Source organism: Homo sapiens, chromosome 11 (genome assembly GCF_000001405.40).
Source record: "Homo sapiens chromosome 11, GRCh38.p14 Primary Assembly".
NCBI classification, from domain to species: domain Eukaryota; kingdom Metazoa; phylum Chordata; class Mammalia; order Primates; family Hominidae; genus Homo; species Homo sapiens.
In genome coordinates this window covers 49,136,101-49,160,764 of record NC_000011.10, presented here as the reverse complement: position 1 = coordinate 49,160,764, position 24,664 = coordinate 49,136,101, and the positions used below count along the sequence as shown (strand labels likewise).

The window sequence follows — 24,664 nt, the reverse complement described above, 5'->3', positions numbered from 1 at the left end:
CACATTAAAAGTTAGAAATATCTGGCCAGGTGTGGTGGCTCACACCTGTAATCCCAGCACTTTGGGAGGCCGAGGAGGGCAGATCACAAGGTCAGGAGATCGAGACCATCCTGGCAAACACAGTGAAACCCCGTCTCTACTAAAAATACAAAAAATTAGCCAGACGTGGTGGCGGGTGCCTGTAGTCCCAGCTATTCGGGAGGCTGAGGCAGGAGAATCGCTTGAACCCGGGAGGTGGAGGTTGCAGTGAGCTGAGATCACGTCACTGCACTCCAGCCTGGACAACAGAGAGAGACTCCGTCTCAAAAAAAAAGAAAAAAACATTAGAAAGATCTCAAGTTAACAGCCTAGTGTCAAAACTAAATATACTAGAGAACAAAAGCAAACAAACCCCAAAGCTAGCAAAAGACACAAAGTAACCAAGACCACAGCTGAACTGAAGGTGTTGGAGACATGAAAAACCCTTCAAAATATTAACGAATCCAGGAGCTGATTTTTTGAAAAAAATTAATAAAAAATAGAGTGCTAACTAGACTAATAAAGAAGAAAAGTGATAAGATTCAAATAAACACCGTCAGAAATGATAAGGGGGAATATTCTCACTGACCCCACAGAAATACAAACATCAGAGAACATTATAAACACCTCTATGCACATAAACTAAAGAATCTAGAAGAAATGGAAATTAGCTGGGTGTGGTGGCAGGTGCCTGTAATCCCAGCTGCTCGGGAGGCTGAAGCAGGAGAATTGCGTGAACGAGGTTGCAGTGAGCAGAGATCGCGCAATTGCACTCTAGCTCAGGTGACAGTGCAAGACTTCATCAAAAAACAAAACAAAACAAAAACAGAAAAAAAAAAAGAAAAGGAAAAAGAAAAAAAAGGATAAATTCCTGGAAACATACACCTTCTGAAGGCTGAACCAGAAAGAAATTGAATCCCTGAACAGGCCAATCATGAGTTCTGAAACTGAGGCAGTAATAAATAGCTTACCAACCAAAAAAAGCCAAGGACCAAATGGATTCACAGCTTAATTCTACCAGAGGTACAAAGAAGGGCTGGTACTATTTCTATTGAAACTATTGCCAAATAATTAGGAGGAGAGACTCCTCCCTAACTAATTCTATGAGGCCAGCATCATCCCAATACCAAAATTTGGCAGAGATACAACAGCAACAAAAATTCAGGCCAGTATCTATGATGAACAATGATGCAAAAATCCTCAATAAAGTACTGGCAAACAGAATCCAGCAGCACATTAGAAAGCTTATCCACCACAATCAAGTAGGCTTCATCCCAGGGATGCAAGGTTGATTCAACATATGCAAATCAATAAATGCAGTTAATCACATAGGCAGAACTAGAAACAAAAACCACATGATTATCTCAATAAATGCAGAAAAAAGCTTTCAATAACATTGAATATCTCTTCATGTTAAAAACTATCAATAAACTAGGTATTGAAGGAGCAAACCTCAAAATAATAAGAGCCATATATGACAAACCCACAGCCAACATCGTACTGAATGGGCCAAAGCTACAAGCAGTCCTTTTCAAAACCGACACAAAATAAGGATTCTTCTCTAATCACTCCTATTCAACATAGTATTGGAAGTGCTGGCCAGGGTAATCAGGCAAGATAAAAAAATAAAGCTCATTCAAATAAAAAGAGAGGAGGTCAAACTATCCCTGTTTGCAGATGACATTATTCTATATCTAGGAAATTCCATTGTCAAAGCCCAAAAGCTCCTTAAGCTGATAAGCAACTATAGCAGTCTCAGGATACAAAATCAATGTACAAAAATTGCTAGCATTCCTATACACTAACAACAGACAAGCCAAGAGCCAAGTCACAAATTACCACTCATTCACAATTACCACAAAATGAACAAAATACCTATGAATACAGCTAACTCAGGAGGTGAAAGATCTCTACAAGGAGAACTACAAACCACTGCTCTAAGAAATCAGAGATGACATATTCAAATGGAAAAAACATTCCATGCTCATGGATAGGAAGAATCAATATCATTAAAACGGCCATATTGCCCAAAGTAATTTATAGATTCAGTGCTATTCCTATTAAACTATTGTTGGCATTCTTCACAGAATTTGAAAAATCTGTTTTAAAATTCATATGGATCCATAAAAGAGCCCATATAACCAAGGCAATCCTAAGCAAAAAGAACAAAGCTGGAGACATCAAACTATACTATGAGGCTACAGTAATCAAAACAGCATGATACTGGTACAAGAACAGACATTGCGGTTTATTGTATATTATTGAATGACTTTGGCAACCCTACTGGCAAGAAACAATATTAAATTGAATCCTTACCCTTAACCAGCTTACTTCTTTTTATTTTCTTTGTTGTGAGATGAGAAATAGTTTTGACTGTAGTATCTTTTAATTCAGAAAAATAGACAAAAAGATCATATGCTATGCCATTCATCTAAAGACAATGGCTTGGTATGAATTTGGTGTAGCCTGTTTATGCTATGCACTTCATACATTTATTTTTATAATATAGTTCACCTATATATAATCACATGAGTATTTTCCCACTTGTCAGAAACTTATAATTCTTGATGACTGCTAATGTATGGATAGCATCCCTTGTTTTTGCTGAATTGTGGCTTAGTTACTCACTTCTGGTTAATGGACATCTAGTTTTTAATATATCTGATTTGTAAGTATTCTCTTTTTTTCTTTTAATTTGTGTAGCTGAAAAGCCCTGATGAAGGCTTTGAAGGCAAATCTCTTTATGAAAGTTGGACTAAAAAAAGTCCTTCCCCAGAGTTCAGTGGCATGCCCAGGTAAACAAATGAATGAAGTTTCCACTGAATTCAGTGTGGGATTGTTTTGAAAATAAAAGCACATTTTCTTTCAATCATTAAGTGAAAAATTAAGTTTCAAAATGGTCTAAAATCTGATAAAGAAAAGCATTACTTTGGTTCACAAATAAAATATTACTATGTGTTTTGTAGTTAAATCTGCAGGATATCAAAATGTGATTTCTCTTTAGAATATGTAATATATACATATGGAACATTTCAGCAGATTATAAAGATTGGTCATTTCTTATATGAAATGCGTGGGATGAGAAGTGTTTTGGACTTTGGATTTTTTTAAGATTTTGGAATATTTGCATTATACTTACTGGTTGAACATGCCTAATCTGAAAATTCATAATCTGAAATGCTTCAGTTAGCATTTCCTTTCAGTGTCATGTAGGTGCTTAAAAACTTTTGGATTTTGCAGCATTTTTTAAAATGTTCTAATCTTTAATTTTTGTGAGTATGTAGTAGGTGTATTTATTTTTGGGGTGCATGAAATGTTTTGATACAGATTTTGGATTTTTGGATTAGGGATACTCAACCCATGATAGAGATAATGGTGAAAAGTAATTTTCCTCGTTTTTCTGCCACCTCATCACCTTGTAATTATCCTTTTTCTGAATATCATATAGTTAACAAATATTTTGCTTATTGCAATAAAAATGCAAGCATCATTTCAACATTGGTTGTATCTTCACAAGCAAGGGAAGAAGAATAAATATCTCAGTGCTCTGAGTTTATCGATGTCAACAGCACTATTTATATTATTAAGGGCAAAATTTATGTCCAAATTATCTGAAAAATATTTGCTTTTCACTCTATTATGTACAACAAATAAAGATGATAAATGGAATGAAATAATCTTAAGGAAAATGTTTTCCAACTTCAGAAACCTTTAACAAAATGTGACATAAAATAGTCATTCCTACACGAAATAGTCTCATAGAAGGAGATATTTTGTGATCAAAATTAATATTCTTTTCATGTTTTTGCTGCATGTCTAAAGCTGTATGTTTAAAATTACATTTATAATAGTAAGAATGGGGTTTAGTTTAATGGACATGTAATCTGTGCTTAATGAACAAATTACTTTGAAATAATTCTGTTGTTTTATCTCTAAAAGGATAAGCAAATTGGGATCTGGAAATGATTTTGAGGTGTTCTTCCAACGACTTGGAATTGCTTCAGGCAGAGCACGGTATACTAAAAATTGGGTAAGTGAATCTCAAATTATCTAAGATTATTTATGAATATGTTTTAACTAAACAAATAATTCTGACTCCAAAAAGTGACTCAAGCATTAGAGGAATAGAGAAATTTGAAAGCAGAGGGAGAAGTCTCAATGGTTGACAGTATCACTACTACGTAGGATAACTCCTATATCTTGTATTCCAACCCTAAATTCAAGTGTCAGTTGGTATCAATACTCATGTCTGCAAATGTGAACTTCTGTGTACTCCTTTAAACATATTTTCTGTTTCATTTGGTGGCATTGCATTCACTCAGTCATTTAAGTTGGAAATGTAGGAATTGTCTTTGATTTCACCCTCCTCCTTATTCAAAATTAGTATCTCCCCATTATCATTCAAAATTAATGAGTGTATTTGGATTTCCATCTCTTACTGTATCTCCAATTATTAAACAAATAACAAGTCATTAAACAAATGAAAAATGATATATATATTAGTCTGTTTTCCTGCTCCTAATAAAGACATACCCGAGACTGGGTCATTTAAAAGGGAAATATGTTTAATTGACTCACAGTTTCATATGGCTGGGGAGGCATCACAATCATGGCTGAAGGTGAGTGAGGAGCAAAGTTACATCTTACCTGGCAGCAGGCAAGAGAGCATATACAGGGGAACTTCCCTTTATAAAACCATCAGCTCACATGAGACTTATTCACTATCACGAGAGCAGTGCAGGAAAACTCGTCCCCCATGATTCAATTACCTCCCATAAAGTCTCTCCCATGACACGTGGGGATTATCATAATTCAAGGTGAGATTTGGGTGGGGACACAGAGTCAAATCATATCAGTATAATACACTGTGTACGTGTAAAAGTCATGATTCCCTTTCTTTTGTTGTTGATTATATATATATATATATATATATATATATATATATATATATGGTTTTCATTTTCTTCAAAGTAAATTGGGTACATAGTTTATAAAATGTCAAGTAGTTTTATAAGAACAGTGGTTTATAATTAAAAACAGTTGTTTCTTATTTCCATTTCATATTCATACCACCCCTGATTTCTGTTCATCAGATGAAACCTTTGTCAACTTTTATGATACATCCATATTTATAAGTAATATTTTAATCCTGATACTTTTTCAATTTTAAATTTTATGTTATAAAGAAAAATCATTCTCACAGTTATAAAAATGGTAAGGAAGAGTTCATTCAAAACTATTCCAATAAGAATATTGCAATAATAAGAGATCGAGCTCAACTCCAAATACAGAAAAGACATTTGGTGATTTAGAGTTGACATTAAGTTTCTGTAAGCCTTTCCTCATGGGCTATTCTTCCCAGATGGAAAATCTTCAGTCTCCTGTCTGTGAGGTAGGAGGTTAGGCAGAGTTATGCAGGAGGTGATAGTGAGGATAAATATTAATATTGTCTACATTTTACTACGAAAAAATTACAACAAAGAAAAGTCAAATGACCACCTAAAGTTTTTGGTAGTAAGTCCTGAAGCCTAGATTCAAACCCTGGCAGGGTAATTCCAGAATCCCAGTCTCTTCAACACATCAGTACATAAAATGTCCTTTTATATTAATAATAAAAAATAAGCATCTTAAGATGATCAAAAGTGATAAACCAGCAATTCACAGTTTGAAAAGTCCTTCCTTCTACCTATACTTTTGGTTTTCCTGACACCTGTCTGGGCCTCCCTTCTCTCTCCTTAGTGAGATTTTGGATCCACTACTGCACCCCTCACCACTCAGACTCTCCAGCCTTCAGTACACTGCTTGTCAGACAATCATTTATCCATGGAATTTTAGTGATTAAGCAATTTAGTGTCTTCTCCTATATAATATTGTGTAATACTTATGTACTTGCCTTTAACAATTCGTCTTCTTTTTATCCAAATGCAAGATTGTCTTGTCTTTTTTTTCAGATTCTTAAAACATGAATCTAAGAATGCAATGTTCTGCATTCTTAGAGGCAAGCCAGTTTGGTCCCTTTCAAATAATTTTTAAATAATATTTGTTATATCATATACACATATTTTAATTGATACAAGCCTGGAATGTGTTTATGTATCATAATATTAGCCATTTAGGATGTAGCTTATTGAGATGCTTAAGTACTTTCCTTGATCCATCACTGACCAATCTTACTAATACTAATAGTAAATATGGTGCTAATCATTTTTTGTAAGCTATCCTATAAGAGATATGTTTTGTTGTTTTTTCTGTAGGAAACAAACAAATTCAGCGGCTATCCACTGTATCACAGTGTCTATGAAACATATGAGTTGGTGGAAAAGTTTTATGATCCAATGTTTAAATATCACCTCACTGTGGCCCAGGTTCGAGGAGGGATGGTGTTTGAGCTAGCCAATTCCATAGTGCTCCCTTTTGATTGTCGAGATTATGCTGTAGTTTTAAGAAAGTATGCTGACAAAATCTACAGTATTTCTATGAAACATCCACAGGAAATGAAGACATACAGTGTATCATTTGGTATGTTACCCTTCCTTTTTCAAATTCCTCATCTGTATGGTTCTATTAATCTCCTAAATATAATGGGCTATCTTAGGTCATTTATTATTTATTGCTATTTCAAGTGATCCAATATTCTGTTTATGTCTATAAATGTATTTTCCATTTTATGGATGCTCACGTCTTATAATATAAAAATATAAATACCTTGTAAAACACAAAAGATGATGGCTTCTATATTGTTCCTTTTCTTGAACTATAGAGCAGTGCCATTAGAAATTATGTTCTTTAAGCATTTGATGATCCCAATTTCTATTTCAGATTCACTTTTTTCTGCAGTAAAGAATTTTACAGAAATTGCTTCCAAGTTCAGTGAGAGACTCCAGGACTTTGACAAAAGCAAGTATGTTCTACATATATGTGCATATGTGTGTATGTGTGTGTATATATATATATTTAAAAGTAAACTAACATGACTGTTGCTGAACTAGCTTTGGGAATTTCTTGCTGTTTTCTTTTTTTTAAATTTGTTTTACTTTAAGTTGCTGGATACATGGACAGAACGTGCAGGTTTGTTACATAGGTATACAAGTGTCGTTTCCTGCTGTTTTCTGTCTTTCCACTCTAGCACGTCCTATGTAGGGCTGCCCCATCTCAAAAGACCTACTTTCGACATTCTGAGTGGCAATTGTGCCGCTCAGAAATGTCAGTCCCTCCCTCCTGACATTTGATCAGTTACAAAATACTCTGCTTAACATTGAAGGTCCTCTACTGTGTGACCCCAGCTGTTTCCAGTTTTATTTCTTGCTTTTTCAGTATCTGTACATCATAACTCAGCCAGACTATTTATTTTTCAAAACATGATTTCTTTCTACCTCCTTTGTTTTTGTCATTACCTCCACATAGAGCTCCTTATTTCCACTTCCATCTGGCAAAATTCTGTTTATCCAGAATAGCAAATATTGTGAAGCCATTAATTTTGGAAATGTTAAACATTTAGGATTAATTCTGTGTAAGATTACACAAGTACAACACAATTTGAACAAAATTTTAAGATGGAAGGAAAAATACTTGGTGAGAATACTAAGGTAATTTTTTTAAAGTATAATTTTGAGGGCAGAGATCTGTGTATTAAATATAGTATCATGATATAAATATCAAATCCCCAGGAGCTGATGTAAGGACACATAAAAAGATTACAGTAGATGATGTAGAAATAGGCTTGGTGATCTATAAGGAAATATTAGTAATAAATGATACAGCAAAAATTAATGGGGAAAGATTACTCAACCATAATATTATATGAACTATGTTAGTACCTGCTATAACTGCTATAAAAGTAAATTCAGAATCGCACTTCACATTGTATGCTAACATAAACAACAGGTGTAAAGAATTATTTAGTAAAAATGGAAATTTCTTGAAAGATGCCAAGTTTAGAAGCAATGGGGAAATGATGCAATCAGATTTGAGACCATTTGAAATGGTTCAGAATACGAAAATTAATATTCACAAGAAAAATTAAGAAAGTTGAAAACTTATTTTCTAGCAAAAATGGAGAGTAATATATACATTATAAAAATATTTTTTGAAAATTAATTTAAACAGTCCAAAAGAACCAGCTGAAAATATCGGTAAGAAACAAGACAAATAATTTTACAAATGTTGTCAAAGATACACCTGCAAAGAAACATGGCAAAATATTGCAGTTCACTAATGCATAATTCAGAAATACAAATGAAAGTAATGTGATGTTATTTTTATAACACATTAATAACAATTTAAACCTTGGTTTGCCCATTGCTGTAGCTGGTACACTGAAGCATATGCTCTCCATGCTTTTCTGATAGCATTATGAATTATTTTAGCCTTTTTGAAAAAGATAGATACATATTGCTAATGTGTTCAAGAGCTGTCACAGAGTCCTGTGCTTTGACATAGTATTTCCACTTCTTGGATTATTTCTTAGGAAAAAGTCTCAATTTTGGAAAAGAAAGGCTGCCTGGAGAAAGATTTGAAGTATAAAATTATAATAGCAAGTAATTCAAAATAACCTAATGCCTAAGAGAAGAGAAATTACTAAAAAATTTGATATTCACCAATTTGAACATTTTATAATCCTAACAATGGATTATTAGAAATACAACATAATAGAAGATACTTAGAATAAAATATGAAGTAAGCAAAAAGGTTGTAAAATTGTAAATATAATTTGATTAATTTTTATTTAACAAATACAGGAAAAACTTTAAGGGAATTAATGAATTATTATAATAATTGTGCTATCCTCAGGGAATATTGGAAGAATTGTTTTCCTATTCTTTTCAATTCTTTATAATTTTTATATGTGAGTAAAAAAGTCAACAATAAGAAATACATTTTAAGGAGATCCCAAACACCATGTATCCTATAAAACTGGTTTTCTTTTTGTATTTAAAAGAAAAAATGTTTTCTCCCTCTGACAAAATGTCTCATGGTTTGAATTGTGGTTTGTTTAGGACACTTATTGTTTGGCACACTCAGCTTCCCCTTCCTTTAGTATTTCTATATTTGTTTTATTTTCTGTAAGTGATAGTAAAGATACACTCTGTTCCCTATATGATACTTACAAATTCTGAAACACCTGAGCAGTGCTTTGCACATAATAGTAAATTCTGACTAAGTAAATTAAACTGAATGTTGAATTTCTCAACCAAAACTTTGAAATCTAAGGAAGAGACATGACTTTATCCTGCTTTTCTTGTATCACTTCTTGCCCCATCAAAGAATATAAGACGTTAACACAGGATACAGAGAAAGAGAAGTGTGTGTGTGTGTGTCTGTGTGTGTGTGTGCACGCACGCGCACGCGCGCATTTACGTGTGTGTGGCCACGAGTTTTTGTACTTGTAGCAATTCTTTGTGAATTTGATTCCGAAACCCATTGCATCTTATTGAAATTATCCTTCATTCGATTGTCTCAACTGTTTATCGGAGTTGCTAACAGGTATTCTGTGTTTCATTTACCTTTATACTATCACAGAATCTGAATTCATGATGCCAAATACATAAATGTTAAAAATAGCTCAAATCCAAATTATGGGAGTTTAAGTTGTTCCTATTTTCCTTTTGTCGGCAAGGTGCAGTTGAAAGAACAATATCAATCTCCTATTTCACTCTAAAACTTTCTAGTGTGAATTTAGGCAAGTTATTTAACTCATGATCCTTTGTTATCTCATCTACAAAATGGGGCTGTTACCCTACCCAACTTGCAGAATTGCTCTGAAAATTAAAAATCACATTTTGTATAAAGATTCAGAACAGTAATTGGCACATAGGAAATGATCACTAAATGCTCTTTTAGTAAAACTAAATTATGAAAAGCAAGAAGTAAATTAATGAACAAGATGATTCATGCTTTCTTATTGTAATGATTTTTCTCAGTTAATTAAATTGTGAAATAATTGGTATATTAAATTCAGTAACTCATTGTTGAAGTATTCAGAGCTTGCTGATAAACTTTCAATTATATTGAATCATTCTTATTATAATAACAACCCCAACACTCCTTTTAGAATGTAAGTTCTGTAAAAGCAGGGAGTGTTTGATAAATAGCAGGTATCCAAATATTGTTGAAAGACTTAAGTAATCACCATCTGTTGTGTTCATAATAGGTTTAGCTTTAAAAATAAAAGGAATATTATTAGTTATCACTTGGTAAATATTTATAATTTGCCAGGCATCTTACTAAACATTAGCAAGTCATCTTATTTTAATATTGATATTACTTCAGTGAGTAGATTGCTAGGATACCTAAGGTGAAGAAAATCTTGCCTATATTTGTATATCTGGGTTGATCAGTTAATTATGCCAATGTAAATAAAAATCACTATTATTTTTTCCATTTGCACATACAACTGTTTCTGTGCTTTTATAAGCCTGAGCAGTATAGTATTTTATAAGATTTTAAAGATGTCATAGCTATGTATGTTATTGTTCTTAATTTGCATATTACAGAATGTTAAAATTTACAATTGACATTTGAACAACAGTGATTTGAACTGCACAGGTCCACTTATTTACGAATTTTTTTCAATTAATACAGTGAGCCCTCTCTATCCATAGATTTCACATTAGCAAGCAAACACAGATGGAAAATTCAGTATTATTCACTGTAATCCCAGGTACTCAGGAAGCTGAGGCAGAGGAATTGCTTGAGCTCAGGTGTTTAAGGCTATACTGAGCTATGATTAAGCCACTGCACTCCAGCCTGCGCAACAGAGCAAGACTCCATCTCTTAAGAAAACAAAATAAAATACAGTATTGAAGGACTAAAACCCACATATATGGAGGGCTGACTATTCTTGTTATTTTTAAATATGGAAAACTTTTTATTTTGCCAAATTAAATCTTTTATTTTCAAGCTTACATTTGAAAATGTTAGCATTGCATACATAAAATGATTTCATTAAAAATATCTAAAAGTAGGATGGACATAAATCTAGAACAAAAGTATTTTAACTGAGAAAATTCATTTATGTGGAAAAAATCTCAACAAGCATCTTTCTTTTAGCTTTGATATATTAGAACTTTTATCACAGAATGATGCTCACTCTACAAGCTTGAATCTGAGAAACTCAGATGTAGCTAATGAAAAACTAATGAAAAATATAAAGTAAGAGAATTATAGAAACTTAAAAAAAAACTGTTACATTCCATTTGGACTACTAGCCATGTGTTCCACAAACATTTTCTATTTTATATAATTGCCTATCTCATTGTCTTAACAACATGAAGACTAAGATGTGAAAGGGGGATTAAGCATGTGGTAAGAGTTATACTGGGGGCAGCTAACCCAAGGGAGATCAGATGTGGCTTCAGATTCCACATACACAGCTACATTTCCTCACTGAGGCAGAGCAAGTTAATCCAGAAAGTCATATCAGGCTCCAAGAACGCTGTACTTAAACCATTCTGAAAATCACTTGAAACGATATAATTTTAAGTAACTTTTAGACTTAAATCTGGATCATTATACCGAGAGATCAATTTAATTTGTTTGGTAGTTTGTTCATTTTCACCCTGTTAATTCCACAGAGGACTCGTCATTTACATTAGGTATACCTCCCAATGCTATCCTTCCCCCCTCACCCCACCCCACGACAGGCCCTGGTGTGTGATGTTCCCCACCCTGTGTCCAAGTGTTCTCATTGTTCAATTCCCACCTATGAGTGAGATAACGGGTGCAGCACACCAACATGGCACATGTATACATGTGTAACAAACCTGCACGTTGTGCACATGTACCCTCGAACTTAAAAGTATAATAATAAAAAAAAATTCCACAAAGGAGGAGGGCCGACTTTTCACATACATGTGTCCTCCTTGCAGGACTTGAGTATGCACAAATTTTGGTGTAGAGGGTGGTCCTGAAACCAATCCCCGGAGATAACTAAATTCAGTTTTGTTCTGAAATTTTTATTTTCTGAGTAGAAACATATTTTCATGAAGTTATAATTATATTCATTTTCTTTCTCAGCCCAATAGTATTAAGAATGATGAATGATCAACTCATGTTTCTGGAAAGAGCATTTATTGATCCATTAGGGTTACCAGACAGGCCTTTTTATAGGTAAGAAAAGAAAATATGACTCCTTTCTGTAATATCACTTTTTCTTCTAATTATTTTTATTTTTTTCACTGTGGAAAAAATATTGTAGTTGATTTCTTGCAAGCAAATAGAAAATTTCAAAATATATGTAGTAAGTGATAGTTGTATTGTTTCTTCATATAATGTAATATGATTTTTGCATATCTTTATTTTGAGTATCTTTGTTCTGATTATAAAAGAATATAAATTTATTTTAGAAAATATAGAAGATCCAGAAAGCCATGACAAAAAATAAAAATCTCCCCAATTTTATCAGAAAAATATAAAATCATTGTTATATTCTGGTGTGTATAATTTTAGCTCCTTTTCTATTTTAAATATATTTTTACTTATGTATACACAGAACCCAAACATCTCTCTATATATAATGTATATAATAAATATATATTTATTTATTCTTTTCCCTAATGTTGATATTTAGATATTTTATTTCCTCCTAAATCCTGACAGTTGGATTTTTTTCTGCCAAACATTGACTGTCCCCAGGTTGATCTTCTAAATATTGCAGAATGAGATAGATCATTGGACAGCCAGAAATGGCCCTAACTTTCTTTCTAGGGATTATCAAAGGGTCGGGCTTGGGAGTAAGAGCATCTTCCAAGCAGGTTGACTGGATCAGATCACCAGTAGCAGCATATTTTTATCCATCCCCCACCCCCCCTTTTTTTCCTAAGAGACAGGGTCCCACTCTGTCTCCCAGGCTAGAGTTCAGTTGTGCAATTTTAGCTCACTGCAGCCTCAGACTTTTGGGCTCAACCAATCTTCCTGCAGCAGCCTCCAAAGAAGCTAGGACTACAGTCACATGCCACCATGCCCAGCTAATATTTGTACGTTCATTTGTAGCGACAGGGTGTCCCTATGTTGCGCAGGCTCGTCTAGAACTCCTGGCCTCAAGCAATCCTCCCACCTTGGCCTCCCTAATATATGGGATTACAGGCATGAGCTACTGCTTCTGGCCTTATTTACATCTTTACTATGGAGTTTGTCCTTCTCTTCTGTGGGCTATTACATGAACTGTCATAGCCCATTCTATAAAACATTTTCTGCCTTGGTCACATGGAACATTACAAAATTGTTTTTGATGATTCTTCAAACTCTATATTAAGTATTCTAACATGGTAGTGTGACTTTTTAAAAAAAGACAAAAAAAAAACCACAATAGAGGGTTGGCTGATCACAAGCAAGACTGTAATGATTACAATTGTGCTATAATATAGGGGGTAGCATGATATATTAAAAAATCAGCAGTTACTTGTCGTGTGCCTTGAGACAAATCATTTAGTTACTTGATCTCTCAGACCTCAGTTTCCTTCTCTGTGAAATACTAATATCAACTGTGTAGAGTTTATTTCTAAACATCAGAAAAATTGCAAGTAAACATTAAATACCAAGAATGATTGCTGTGGTTACTATCATCATTGTTAGTTTTGTAGCACTGAACCACTTTAATTTATTTGTTTGAAATAAAAATATAATTAATTACTATAGATTTCATATAATAGTCTTCAGAGATGATTGAACTTGGAAGTTCAGTTGACAAGTGGCTTGTTCAAATTGTTATAGGAATATGCAATCCAGGAATTGCAGAGTGCTCTTGTGTTTCTCTTGTATATCATTTGGGCACCTAATAAACAGCAAACGATTTTATCAACAGGCATGTCATCTATGCTCCAAGCAGCCACAACAAGTATGCAGGGGAGTCATTCCCAGGAATTTATGATGCTCTGTTTGATATTGAAAGCAAAGTGGACCCTTCCAAGGCCTGGGGAGAAGTGAAGAGACAGATTTATGTTGCAGCCTTCACAGTGCAGGCAGCTGCAGAGACTTTGAGTGAAGTAGCCTAAGAGGATTCTTTAGAGAATCCGTATTGAATTTGTGTGGTATGTCACTCAGAAAGAATCGTAATGGGTATATTGATAAATTTTAAAATTGGTATATTTGAAATAAAGTTGAATATTATATATAGTTATGTGAGTGTTTATATATGTGTGTGTTTATATTGTTTATCTTCTCCCTATGGATTAAAACTGAATTTCATAATTATAAGAGGTTATTCTGAAGTGGAAAAATTTAACTCAGTATTAAATCTAAGGAGAATGGCCTAATATAGTAAAACTCTCATCTGGCATTATCAGGGAATCAAGTCTAATCTATTCATGTCACTTCACACAGAAGAAAACATCAGTATGTCAGAGAGCACACTGGGGAATATGCACAAGATTATCCCAAGCCAGAGGCCTCACGGCCTACCTGGCCAGCCTGGGCTGAGAGGATCACTATCTCAGCACACTATTTGGGAAATGGATCAAATCACACTTTTAGTAAATGTTATCACTCTATAGCATAAGAAATAATTATTTTTTATTTATATAAAAGGCTATAGTATAAAATATATGTATAGTAATTAAATGAACACTTGTGAACCTAATAGCCATATGAAGAAAATAACATTTCTAATATCTTTGGATGCCCCATGTACTAATGACAGTTATGCTTTTGCATTTTCTTGAATTTTATGTTTATTTATCTTTCCTCTGTCATTATTTATAATTTTATCACACATGGCTGTATCCTTTACATGTTTTGGCATTATGTATTTTTGAACTTTTTGTAAAGACAATCATACCATGTGTAATTTTCAGGGACTTGATTTTTTTCATTGACTTTTAAGGGTTCAAATATATTATCACTGTGGCTGTAGTTTGCCATATTTTGCTGATATAGAGCATTCATTCACATGAGGGTAGGATTCAGGGTCCATCAAGACAGAGAAAACATACAGTAATGTGAATAGGGAAAGTTAATATGAAGAATTATTAATTGTTACAGCATTGGAACAATGAAATATTGTCTAGTAATATGTAAAGAGAAGTCTCAAGAATATGTGATGAGCAGATGTAAGGAATTGCTCTTGTCTCCATGGTGAATTTGGAGCAGCCAATGAAGAGTCCCCTCACATTGTGGCCTCGCTCAAAGTTAAGAAGTCGCTGTAGTGTTGCCCTTGAAGAATCTGCTTCAAATTGACACTTCAGAACTCCCCAGAAACTTGTCTTCTGGGCCAATGTGTAAAGCTGTTTATGAAGAAATGTCAAGCCAGAGGGGCTCTACTACAAATTTGGCAAAGGACAATTTCAGGAGAAGCTCTTGGCCGCTGGGTTCTCCTGGCCACCATGAACTTCAGGAAGTGGGTGCCATAGCAGCAGCCTGAACTACAGAATCTGGGCACTGGTGTAGCTCTGTATGCCCTCCGTGTCAGATGCTGGAGATGTCATTTGCATTGCCAGAGTTTGCCAAGGGTGCACACAGAAAGCAGATTGAAAAGCACCCTCTTGGAACATCTCTCCAATGCCTTCTACTCACAAAGTTTAACATCATTAACACGTGACAAAGAAGAACTATTTAATGGGCCCAGATCTATTTATGAAGACAATCAAGTGGGAGTTTGGAGTGGATAACCCAAATTTGGATAACTGGTGAATAATAAAATGTATTTATTTCTGCTGGTGTATATTTGGAATGTTTTCTATATTTTGCTTCTGTGAACATGTATCCTAATGCAAATATTCAAGAGATTCTCTTTCCTGACAGTATCTGCCTATAGGTTGAATGTCTGTGTTGTAAAGTGTGTGCATCTTCAATTTTACAATGCCAAGCTGTTTCAAAGTGATTTTATTTATTTGTATTCCCACTGGCAAAGTAATCATGTTATTCAAGATAAAAAACAAGTATGGAAGATTGTGGCATGTTAAAGAAATACAAAGAACTCAGTGTTTCTAGAATCCAAGGGATTTGTGGGAAGAACAATCCATACATTGAGCACCAAATACATCACATAGGGCGTAGAAGACATCCAGAGGAGTGTAAGTACTTTCCTGTAGTTTATCAAAAGCCCATAGTAAGGTTAAGCAGGATAGAGATACGAGCATATTTGCATTTCAGAAAGCATTCTGGCCTAGATGGATTAGAAGGCCATCAACCCAGCAAAAGATGAGATTTTTTTTTTTTTTAATACAGGTTCTCACTCTGTCACCCAGGCTGGGGTCAGTGGCACAATCCCAGCTCAACGTAACCTCTGCTTCCTGGGCTCAGGCGATCCTTCAGCATCAGACTCCCAAGTAGCTGAGATTACAGGTGTGCACCACCATGCCTGGCTAATTTTTATATTTTTGGTAGAGATGCGGTTTTGCCATGTATCCCAGGCTGGTCAATAACTCTCCGGCTCAAGGTATCAACCTTCCTTGGCCTCCAAAAGTGGTGAGATTACAGGCAGGAGCCACCATGCCAGGTCCCAAAATCTTTTCTCATGACAACAGTTGCCATGTAGCCTTTATCCCCAGAAAAGATAAGACTACCCTCATCCTTCAGGTCTCAGCTTACATGTCATCTCTTCTAGGAATACTTCCAGAATGACTGCCCCTTCCCTTATATTCCTTACTAGACCATAAGCTCCTTAGAGACTGAGTCTTGTTTTTTTATTTTCACTTCAATCTCTATCAGTAGGGAGAGTCCATAGATGACACTCATTTTGTGAGTAATCAGAGTGGCGTGCATATGAGACTTTCTGAGGCATTCTGTGCTTTGAAAATCAAAGCTGCAGTGCACACTAGGATTTCCACAATGCCTTTGTTACAGGGTTTGGCTGAGCATGCTAACAGGATTTTTGTCATGTCAGTGTTAGAGAGTTGGACAATACTGTAGATGTAGGATAAGGTGAATATTATTATTCTAAAAAATGGACCAAAACCTACATAATACTTGAAAGCTTTGTCAAGTTTCAATCAGTTCTGCAAGCATGCAATAATCATCTCCCCAAAATATTATATGTAATTTGGTGGCTTAGGAACATACTTTGGCAACATATTTAATGTCACTGTCATTCATAAGAGGTAGTGCAATGATAGAAACACAGTTGTTTTTGTTTTTGTTTTTGTTTTGAGACAGGGTCTTGCTCTGTCACCCAGGCTGGAGTGCATTGGTGCAATCTCAGCTCACTGCAACCTCTGCCTCCTGGGTTCAAGTGATTCTCCTGCCCCAGCCTCCTGAGTAGCTGGAATTACAGGCACCTGCCACAATGCCCAGCTAATTTTTTTGTATTTTTAGTAGAGATGGGTTTTCACTAGGTTGGCCAGGCTGATCTCGAACTCCTGTCTTCAGTTGATCCACCTGCCTCCACCTCCCAAAGTGCTGGGATTACAGGTGAGAGCCACCTCTCCTGACCAGGAACAGAGTTTTTAGAGACAGACTGCCTGAGGTCCAACCCTAGTTCTCCCACTTACTTACAGTATGTCTATGGGCAAATTATTAAAGCTTTCTGTTATTAAGAAAGTAAATGGTAGCTTGATGGAGATAGCATTGAATCTATAAATTGCTTTGGGCAGTATGACCATTTTCACGATATTGAGTCTTCCTATCCATGAGCATGGGATGTTTTTCCATTTGTTTGTGTCCTCTCTTACTTCCTTGAGCAGTGGTTTGTAGTTTTCCTTGAAGAGGTCCTTCACATCCCTTGTAAGCTGCATTCCCAGGTATTTTATTCTCTTTGTAGCAATTGTGAATGGGAGTTTACTCATGATTTGGCTCTCTGTCTATTATTGGTGTATAGGAATGTTTGTGATTTTTGCACATTGATTTTTTATCCTCACACTTTGCTGAAGTTGCTTATCAGCTTAAGGAGATTTGGGGCTGAGACAATGGGGTTTTCTAACTATACAATCACGTCATCTGCAAACAGGGACAAGTTTACTTCCTGTCTTCCTATTTGAATGTCCTTTCTTTCTTTCTTTTGTCTGATTGCCCTGGCCAGAACTTCCAATACTATGATGAATTGGAGTGGTGAAAGAGGTCATCCTTGTGCATTTTCAAAGGGAATGCTTCAAGTTTTGCCCATTCAGTATGATATTGTCTGTGGGTTTCTCATAAATAGCTCTTATTATTTTGAGATACCTTCCATCAATACCTAGTTTATTGGCTGTTTTTAGCATGAAGGGTGTTGAATTTTATCAAAGGCCTTTTCTGTATCTATTGAGATAATCATGTAATTTTTGTCATTGGTTCTGTTTATGTGATATGTTATGTTTATTGATTTGCGTGTGTTGAACCAGTCTTGGATCCCAGGGATGAAGCCGACTTGATCATGGTGGATAAGCCTTTTAATGTGCTGCTTGATTTGGTTTGCCAGTATTTTATTGAGGATTTTCGCATTGATGTTCATCAGGGATATTGGCCTGAAATTTTCATTTTTTGTTGCGTATCTGCCAGGTTTTGGTATCAGGATAATGTTGGCCTCATAAAATTAGTTAGGGAGGAGTCCCTCTTTTTCTGTTATTTTGAATAGTTTTAGAAGGAATGGTACCAACTCCTCTTTGTACCTCTGGCAGAATTCGGATGTGAATCTATCTGGTCCTGGGCTTTTTTTGGTTGGTAGGCTATTAATTGCTACCTCAATTTCAGAACTTTTTATTGGTCTATTCAGGATTCCACTTCTTCCTGGTTTAGTCTTGGGAGGGTGTATGTGTCCAGGAATTTATCAATTTCTTCTAGATTTTCTAGTTTATTTGTGTAGAGGTGTTTACAGTATTCTCTGATGGTAGTTTGCATTTCTGTGTGATCAGTGGTGATATCCCCTTTATCATTTTTTATTGTGTCTATTTGATTCTTCTCTCTTTTCTTCTTTATTATTCTGGCTAGCAGTCTATCTACTTTTGTTAATCTTTTCAGAAAACAGCCCTTGGATTCATTGATTTTTTGAAGGGTTTTTCATGTCTCTATCTCCTTCAGTTCTGCTCTGATCTTAGTTATTTCTTATCTTCTGCTAGCTTTTGAATTTGTTTGCTCTTGCTTCTCTAGGTCTTTTAATTGTGATGTTAGGGTATCGATCGATTTTAAATCTTTTCCACTTTCTCATATGGCCAATTAGTGCTATAAATTTCCCTCTAAACACTGCTGTAGCTGTGTCCCAGAGATTCTGGTATGTTGTGTCTTTGTTCTCATTGGTTTCAAAGAACTTATTTATTTCTGTCTTAATTTTGTTGTTTACCCAGTAGTCATTCAGGAGCAGGTTGTTCAGTTTCTATGTAGTTGTGCAGTTTTGAGTGAGCTTCTTAATCCTAAATTCTAATTTGATTGCACTGTGGTCTGAGACACAGTTTGTCATGATTTCCTTTCTTTTACATTTGCTCAGGAGTGTTTTACTTCCAATTATGTGGTCAACCTTGGAATAAGTGCAATGCAGTACTGAGAAGAATGTATATTCTGTTGATTTGGGGTGGAGAGTTCTGTAGATGTCTTTTAGGTCCACTTGGTCCAGAATTGAGTTCAAGTCCTGAAAATCCTTGTTAATTTTCTGTCTCACTGATCTGTCTAATATTGACAGTGGGGTGTTAAAGTCTTCCATTATTTTTGTGTGGGAGTCTAAGTCTCCTTTTAGGTCTCTAAGAACTTGCTTTATGAATCTGGGTTATCCTATATTGGGTGCATATATGTTTAGGAGAGTTAGCTCTTCATGTTGCATTGATCCCTTTACCATTATGTAATGCCCTTCTTTGTCTTTTTTGATCTTGTTAGTTTAAACTCTGTTTTATCAGAGACTAGGATTGCAACCCCTGCTATTTTTTTGCTTTCCATTTGCTTGGTAAATCTTTCTCCATCCCTTTATTTGGAGCCTATGTGCGTCTTTGCACTTGAGATGGGTTTCCTGAATACAGCACACCAATGAGTCTTGACTTGTTATCCAATTTGCCAGTCTGTGTCTTTTAATTGGGGCATTTAGGCTGTTTACATTGAAAGGTAATATTGTTATGTGTGAATTTGATCCTGTCATTATAATGCTAGCTAGTTATTTTGCTCATTAGTTGATGCAGTTTCTTCATATTGTTGATGGTCTTTACAATTTGGCATGTTTTTGCAGTGGCTGACACTGCTTTTTTCCTTTCCATACTTAGTGCTTCCTTCAGGAGCTCTTGAAAGGCAGACCTGGTGGTGACAAAATCCCTCACCATTTGCTTGTCCGTAAAGGATTTTATTTCTCCTTCACTTATGAAACACAGTTGGCTGGATATGAAATTCTCGGTTGAAAATTCTTTTCTTTAAAAATGTTGAATATTGGCCCCCACTCTCTTCTGGCTTGCAGGGTTTCTGCAGAGAGATCCACTGTTAGTCTGATAGGCTTCCCTTTGTGGGTAACCCGACCTTTCTCTCTGTTGCCCTTAACACTTTTTTCCTTCATTTCAACCTTGGTGAATCTGATGATTATGTGTCTTGGGTCTGCTCTTCTTGAGGAGTATCTTTGTGGTATTCTCTGTATTTCCTGAATTTGAATGTTGGCCTGTCTTGCTAGGTTGGGGAAGTTCTCCTGAATAATATCCTGAAGTGTGTTTTCCAACTTGCTTATATTCTCCCCATTACTTTCAGGTACACCAATCAGACATAGGTTTGGTCTTTTCACATGGTCCCATATTTATTGGAGGCTTTGTTCACTCCCTTTTATTCTTTTTTTCTAATCTTGTCTTCACACTTCATTTCATTATGTTGATCTTCAATCTCTGATATCCTTTCTTCCACTTGATTGATTCAGCTATTGATACTTGTGAATGCTTCATGAAGTTCTCGTGCTGTGTATTCAGCTATATCAGGTCATTTGTGTTCTTCTCTAAACTGGTTATTCTAGTTAGCAGTTCCTCTAACCTTTTATCAAGGTTCTTAGCTTCCTTGCATTGGGTTAGAACATGCTCTTTTAGCTCAGAAGAGTTTGTTGTTACCCACCTTCTGAAGCCTACTTCTGTCAATTCTTCAAACTCATTCTCCATCCAGTTTTGTTCCCTTGCTGGCGAGGAGTTGTGATTCTTTGGAGGAGAAGAGGCGTTCTGATTTTCGGAATTTTCAGCCTGTTTGAACTGGTTTGAACCTTTGGTCTTTGATGTTGGTGACCTTTGGATGGGGTTTTTGTGTGGTCATCCATTTTGTTGATGTTGATGCTATTGCATTCTGTTTGTTAGTTTTCCTTCTAACAGTCAGGGCCCTCTTCTACAGGCCTGCTGGAGAATGCATACTTTTTTCCCTTAGAAATAAAAAATATGCAAGTCAGGGCGTGGTGACTCACACCTCTAATCTCGGCACTTTGGGAGGCTGAGGCGGGAGGATCACTTGAATTCAGGAGTTCAAGAGTAGCCTGGCCAAGGGGGTGAAACTCCGTCTCTACTAAAAATACAAAAATTAGCCAGGTGTGGTGGGACAGGCTTGTAATCCTAGCTACTTGAGAGAGGCTGAGACAGGAGAATCACTTGAATCTGGGAGGTGAAGGTTGCAGTGAGCTGATATCCTGCCAGTGCACTCCAGCATGGGCAACAGAACAAGACTCCGTCTCAAAAAAAAAAAACAAAACAAAACAAAACAAAAAACCCATAAGATGAATTAATTTAAATATTTCTAGGCTTATGAGCTTTCCAAGCAGGTCACCTTGATGTGCCAAGTTGATAAAAGTTATGTAATTAATTTCGGTTTCCTTTTCAGGTATAATATCTATCATTGCTTTGAAATATATAAACTTACATGATTTTTATTTCCTTTTTTTCCTTCCTTGTGTATGAAAATTGTGGATTTCTGGAAGGAAAGTTCTAGATATCATGCAGTTTTATCTATGGCATGATGTTTAAAACTTAATTGGAAATCTGTGTTGTAGAATGTGAAAAGTGCTATGATGTTTGGAACTTTAAGTTGTAGCCTTGGTCATTAAAGTGCTCAATAGCAATTCAGAAACTTGTCATGGTTGTGGAAAGGTGACATTGGTGACCACACTGAATACCAGGAATGAGAGGGTTTTCTGCACTCTGCACCACAAGTAAGAATTTTTATTATGTCTAGTTATTTACTTTAAAACTGTAATTTATTAGATGGCAGCAGTTGTCATTTTAACTTGGAGTTTACGTTATTTCCAAATGTGGATGACCTTTGAAGAGTAAATCTGACATGATTGTGGAATATATTGCTCTTCTGTTCCCAGTGTTGGATACCGTTTATATTAAGGTTGCCTAAATGCAAGAGCATTGATGCTAAAAAGGAGAGAGAGGTAAATTTTTAATACTAAAGTTTGCAGCCTACCAAAGATTGATGAAACACTAATCAATTATTTTGTATTAGGGATTGATAGGATGGGGTTTTCTAATATAATAAAATAAAGCATTGTAGGTGACTAATTTTAGGTCACTGATTTTGGAGACTAATTTTAGTGTCTGTGTGTGCATAATCATTTTTCTCAGGTTGATCTGTCCATAGGTGGCAAGAACTTTTCTATGCACACGTGCAGATAAAAAAATGGACAAAGTGTAAGAACTGCTTCCTAGTGTCAGCTCATATAGCATGTGCACGTTTCTCCAGAATGGCATTTTTCTGTTGATATTTTGTTTGTATCTGTGAACTTCTGATAAGAAAGGGATGATTTTCTTAATCTTCATACATGTGCCAAAACAGTCTCAATCTTACTGTATAGGATGTTAAATAATATGGTTATTATAATATTTCTTAATCTAGAAAAATGTTCATTGACTTTATGAGAAGTGAAGAATTAAGTTTCTTAACTACTTGATTTCACCCATACGTGGAATACACTTTTTTCTCATCTTCCCAGTGTAACTTACAAATTTTTAAATTGTATGAACATTGTGCAAATTATTGTCTGTATGTAAAATTAAATCTGTATGTAAAATGAAATAGCTGAGCATTGAGACATGGTATGATTAGATCTTCTTTTCCTTACCATTGTTTTGTTTTTTCTTGGAGTTAAATTTTATTTTTCCAGCTTTCAGTAACCGTATCAAAAAGTCATACTCAAATTCTATACTAAAATATCTTCTCAAGATTTACATACACATTCATCAGTCCCTCAAATTCATCTACAAGTTTTTTTAATCCCTGGGGTTTAGAAGTGGTTAGAGTGTACCCCATTTTTGGAGCTGGGTGCTTTGCCCTTGTTGGTTCTCCTCACCTTTTTGATAATAGTGTTAGCAGCCCATTCATTAACATCTGTTGAACCACCTGAATTAGACTTTGTCTCTTTTTCTGCTGCTAATATCATATTTTTAAAAAGCTCATTAGTTATTCCTCTAATTTCTCAATTTTATTTTTTAAATATTTTATTGGAGTTTTAATTTTGCAGTGGTATTTCAATTTACAAAATAAATATTTTATTTAAATGTTCTTTAAAAAATTTTCTTGTTATTTTTTCCTACTCTTTTCACTATTATCATAACTTTGGGAAGTTATATAAACTTTTGATGGGAAGCTAGGACAACTATGTAATGGAATAATAATGATAAACCCACCCAATAGAGTTCGGAGGAAGAAAATCGGGTAAGTGTCCAACATTTGTGTATTATTTTTATAAGGTTGCCATAATAAATGACTACTGAGGAGTTTAAAACAATAATTTATTATCTCACAATTCTGAAAATCTGAAATTTAATTTAAGAGTTTGACAGAGTTGGTTCTCTCTGGAGGCTCTGAGGGGAAATCCACCTTCTTCCTCTCTGCTAGCTTCTGTTGGCTGATGGCAACCCTTGGCTTTCATTGACTTGCAGCAGTATAAATCCAATCTCTTCCTCCCTCTGTCTTACCCTGGATGTCTCTGTCTCAAATCTTCCTCTTGTTTTTTTCTATAATGATAACAGTCACTGGACTTAGGTTTCACCCTAAATCCAGAATGGTCTCTTTTGGAGGTTATCAAGTTAATTACATCTGCAAAGAACCTATTTTCAGAAGTCCATTTTCACCGGTATCAGGGGTTAGGACTTAGACATCTATTTTGGAGGGCCATTCTTCAACTCAATACAATCTGAAAAAATGCCTGGCCCATAGGAGCCACACAATTAAAAAACAAAAACAAACAAACAAACAAACAAACAAAAACTGTGTTTCCGTTTCCATGAATTTACACACATCATCCTACCTTTTAGAATTGGAAACACAGTAATTCATCCTCACTAGTTTCAGATTCTAAATATTTCAGATCTCTTTTCTAATGTCAATTTTGTGTGATTTCTCCTTTTTCTGAGTTAGAATACATCTTACATATACATATTTTTATTTTTCATAAGTATCACTTACATAATAGTTGTAGGTTGATGGCAACTTTTTAACCCTGAAGAATTTGAGAGTAAGTTGTGACCATAAACAAGAGGTAGGGAATTTATTTCTTCATTTTTCTACTTTCTTATGTGAATATTACTTTTTCCTTAAAACCAAACTTAATATAACAGAAATAATAATTATTTTAATTTTTCTTAGGAAATCGATGAAATAGTATTTTTTCTGAGTTTTGAAATGAAAAATTCTGTAACTTTCAAGTTGACTCTTCAATCTTCTGCACTCATCAACTTCAAATCTTTTATTTTTTTGCCATTTTGTTTTTTATTCATATTTTAATTTATTATAGGAGAATTTTTCAAAAGCCATTTCTAAGTCTAATATCTTTGCTATTTTCTCTTCTCTCTCAAATATGAACTTAAAT

At 35.0% G+C, this 24,664-nt stretch overlaps 1 protein-coding gene across 15 annotated transcripts in view; it reads left to right on the top strand.

The window, feature by feature from the left end:
- FOLH1 (folate hydrolase 1) overlaps positions 1 to 15,673 on the top strand; it is a 63,511-nt gene extending 47,838 nt beyond the window's left edge. For 8 of the 15 annotated variants that reach the window (XM_047426678.1, XM_017017434.2, XM_047426679.1 and 5 more), the window contains 6 exons: positions 2,722 to 2,813; positions 3,958 to 4,048; positions 6,273 to 6,537; positions 6,838 to 6,919; positions 12,034 to 12,126; positions 13,820 to 15,673. In XM_047426678.1, the coding sequence (XP_047282634.1) occupies positions 2,722 to 2,813; positions 3,958 to 4,048; positions 6,273 to 6,537; positions 6,838 to 6,919; positions 12,034 to 12,126; positions 13,820 to 14,009 (813 nt within the window). In that variant the 3' untranslated portion in view covers positions 14,010 to 15,673. Of the gene's footprint in view, positions 1 to 2,721; positions 2,814 to 3,957; positions 4,053 to 6,272; positions 6,538 to 6,837; positions 6,920 to 12,033; positions 12,127 to 13,819 lie in introns of those variants that run through there. The other 7 variants (XM_047426681.1, XM_047426682.1, NM_001351236.2 and 4 more) reach the window with 2 other exon arrangements.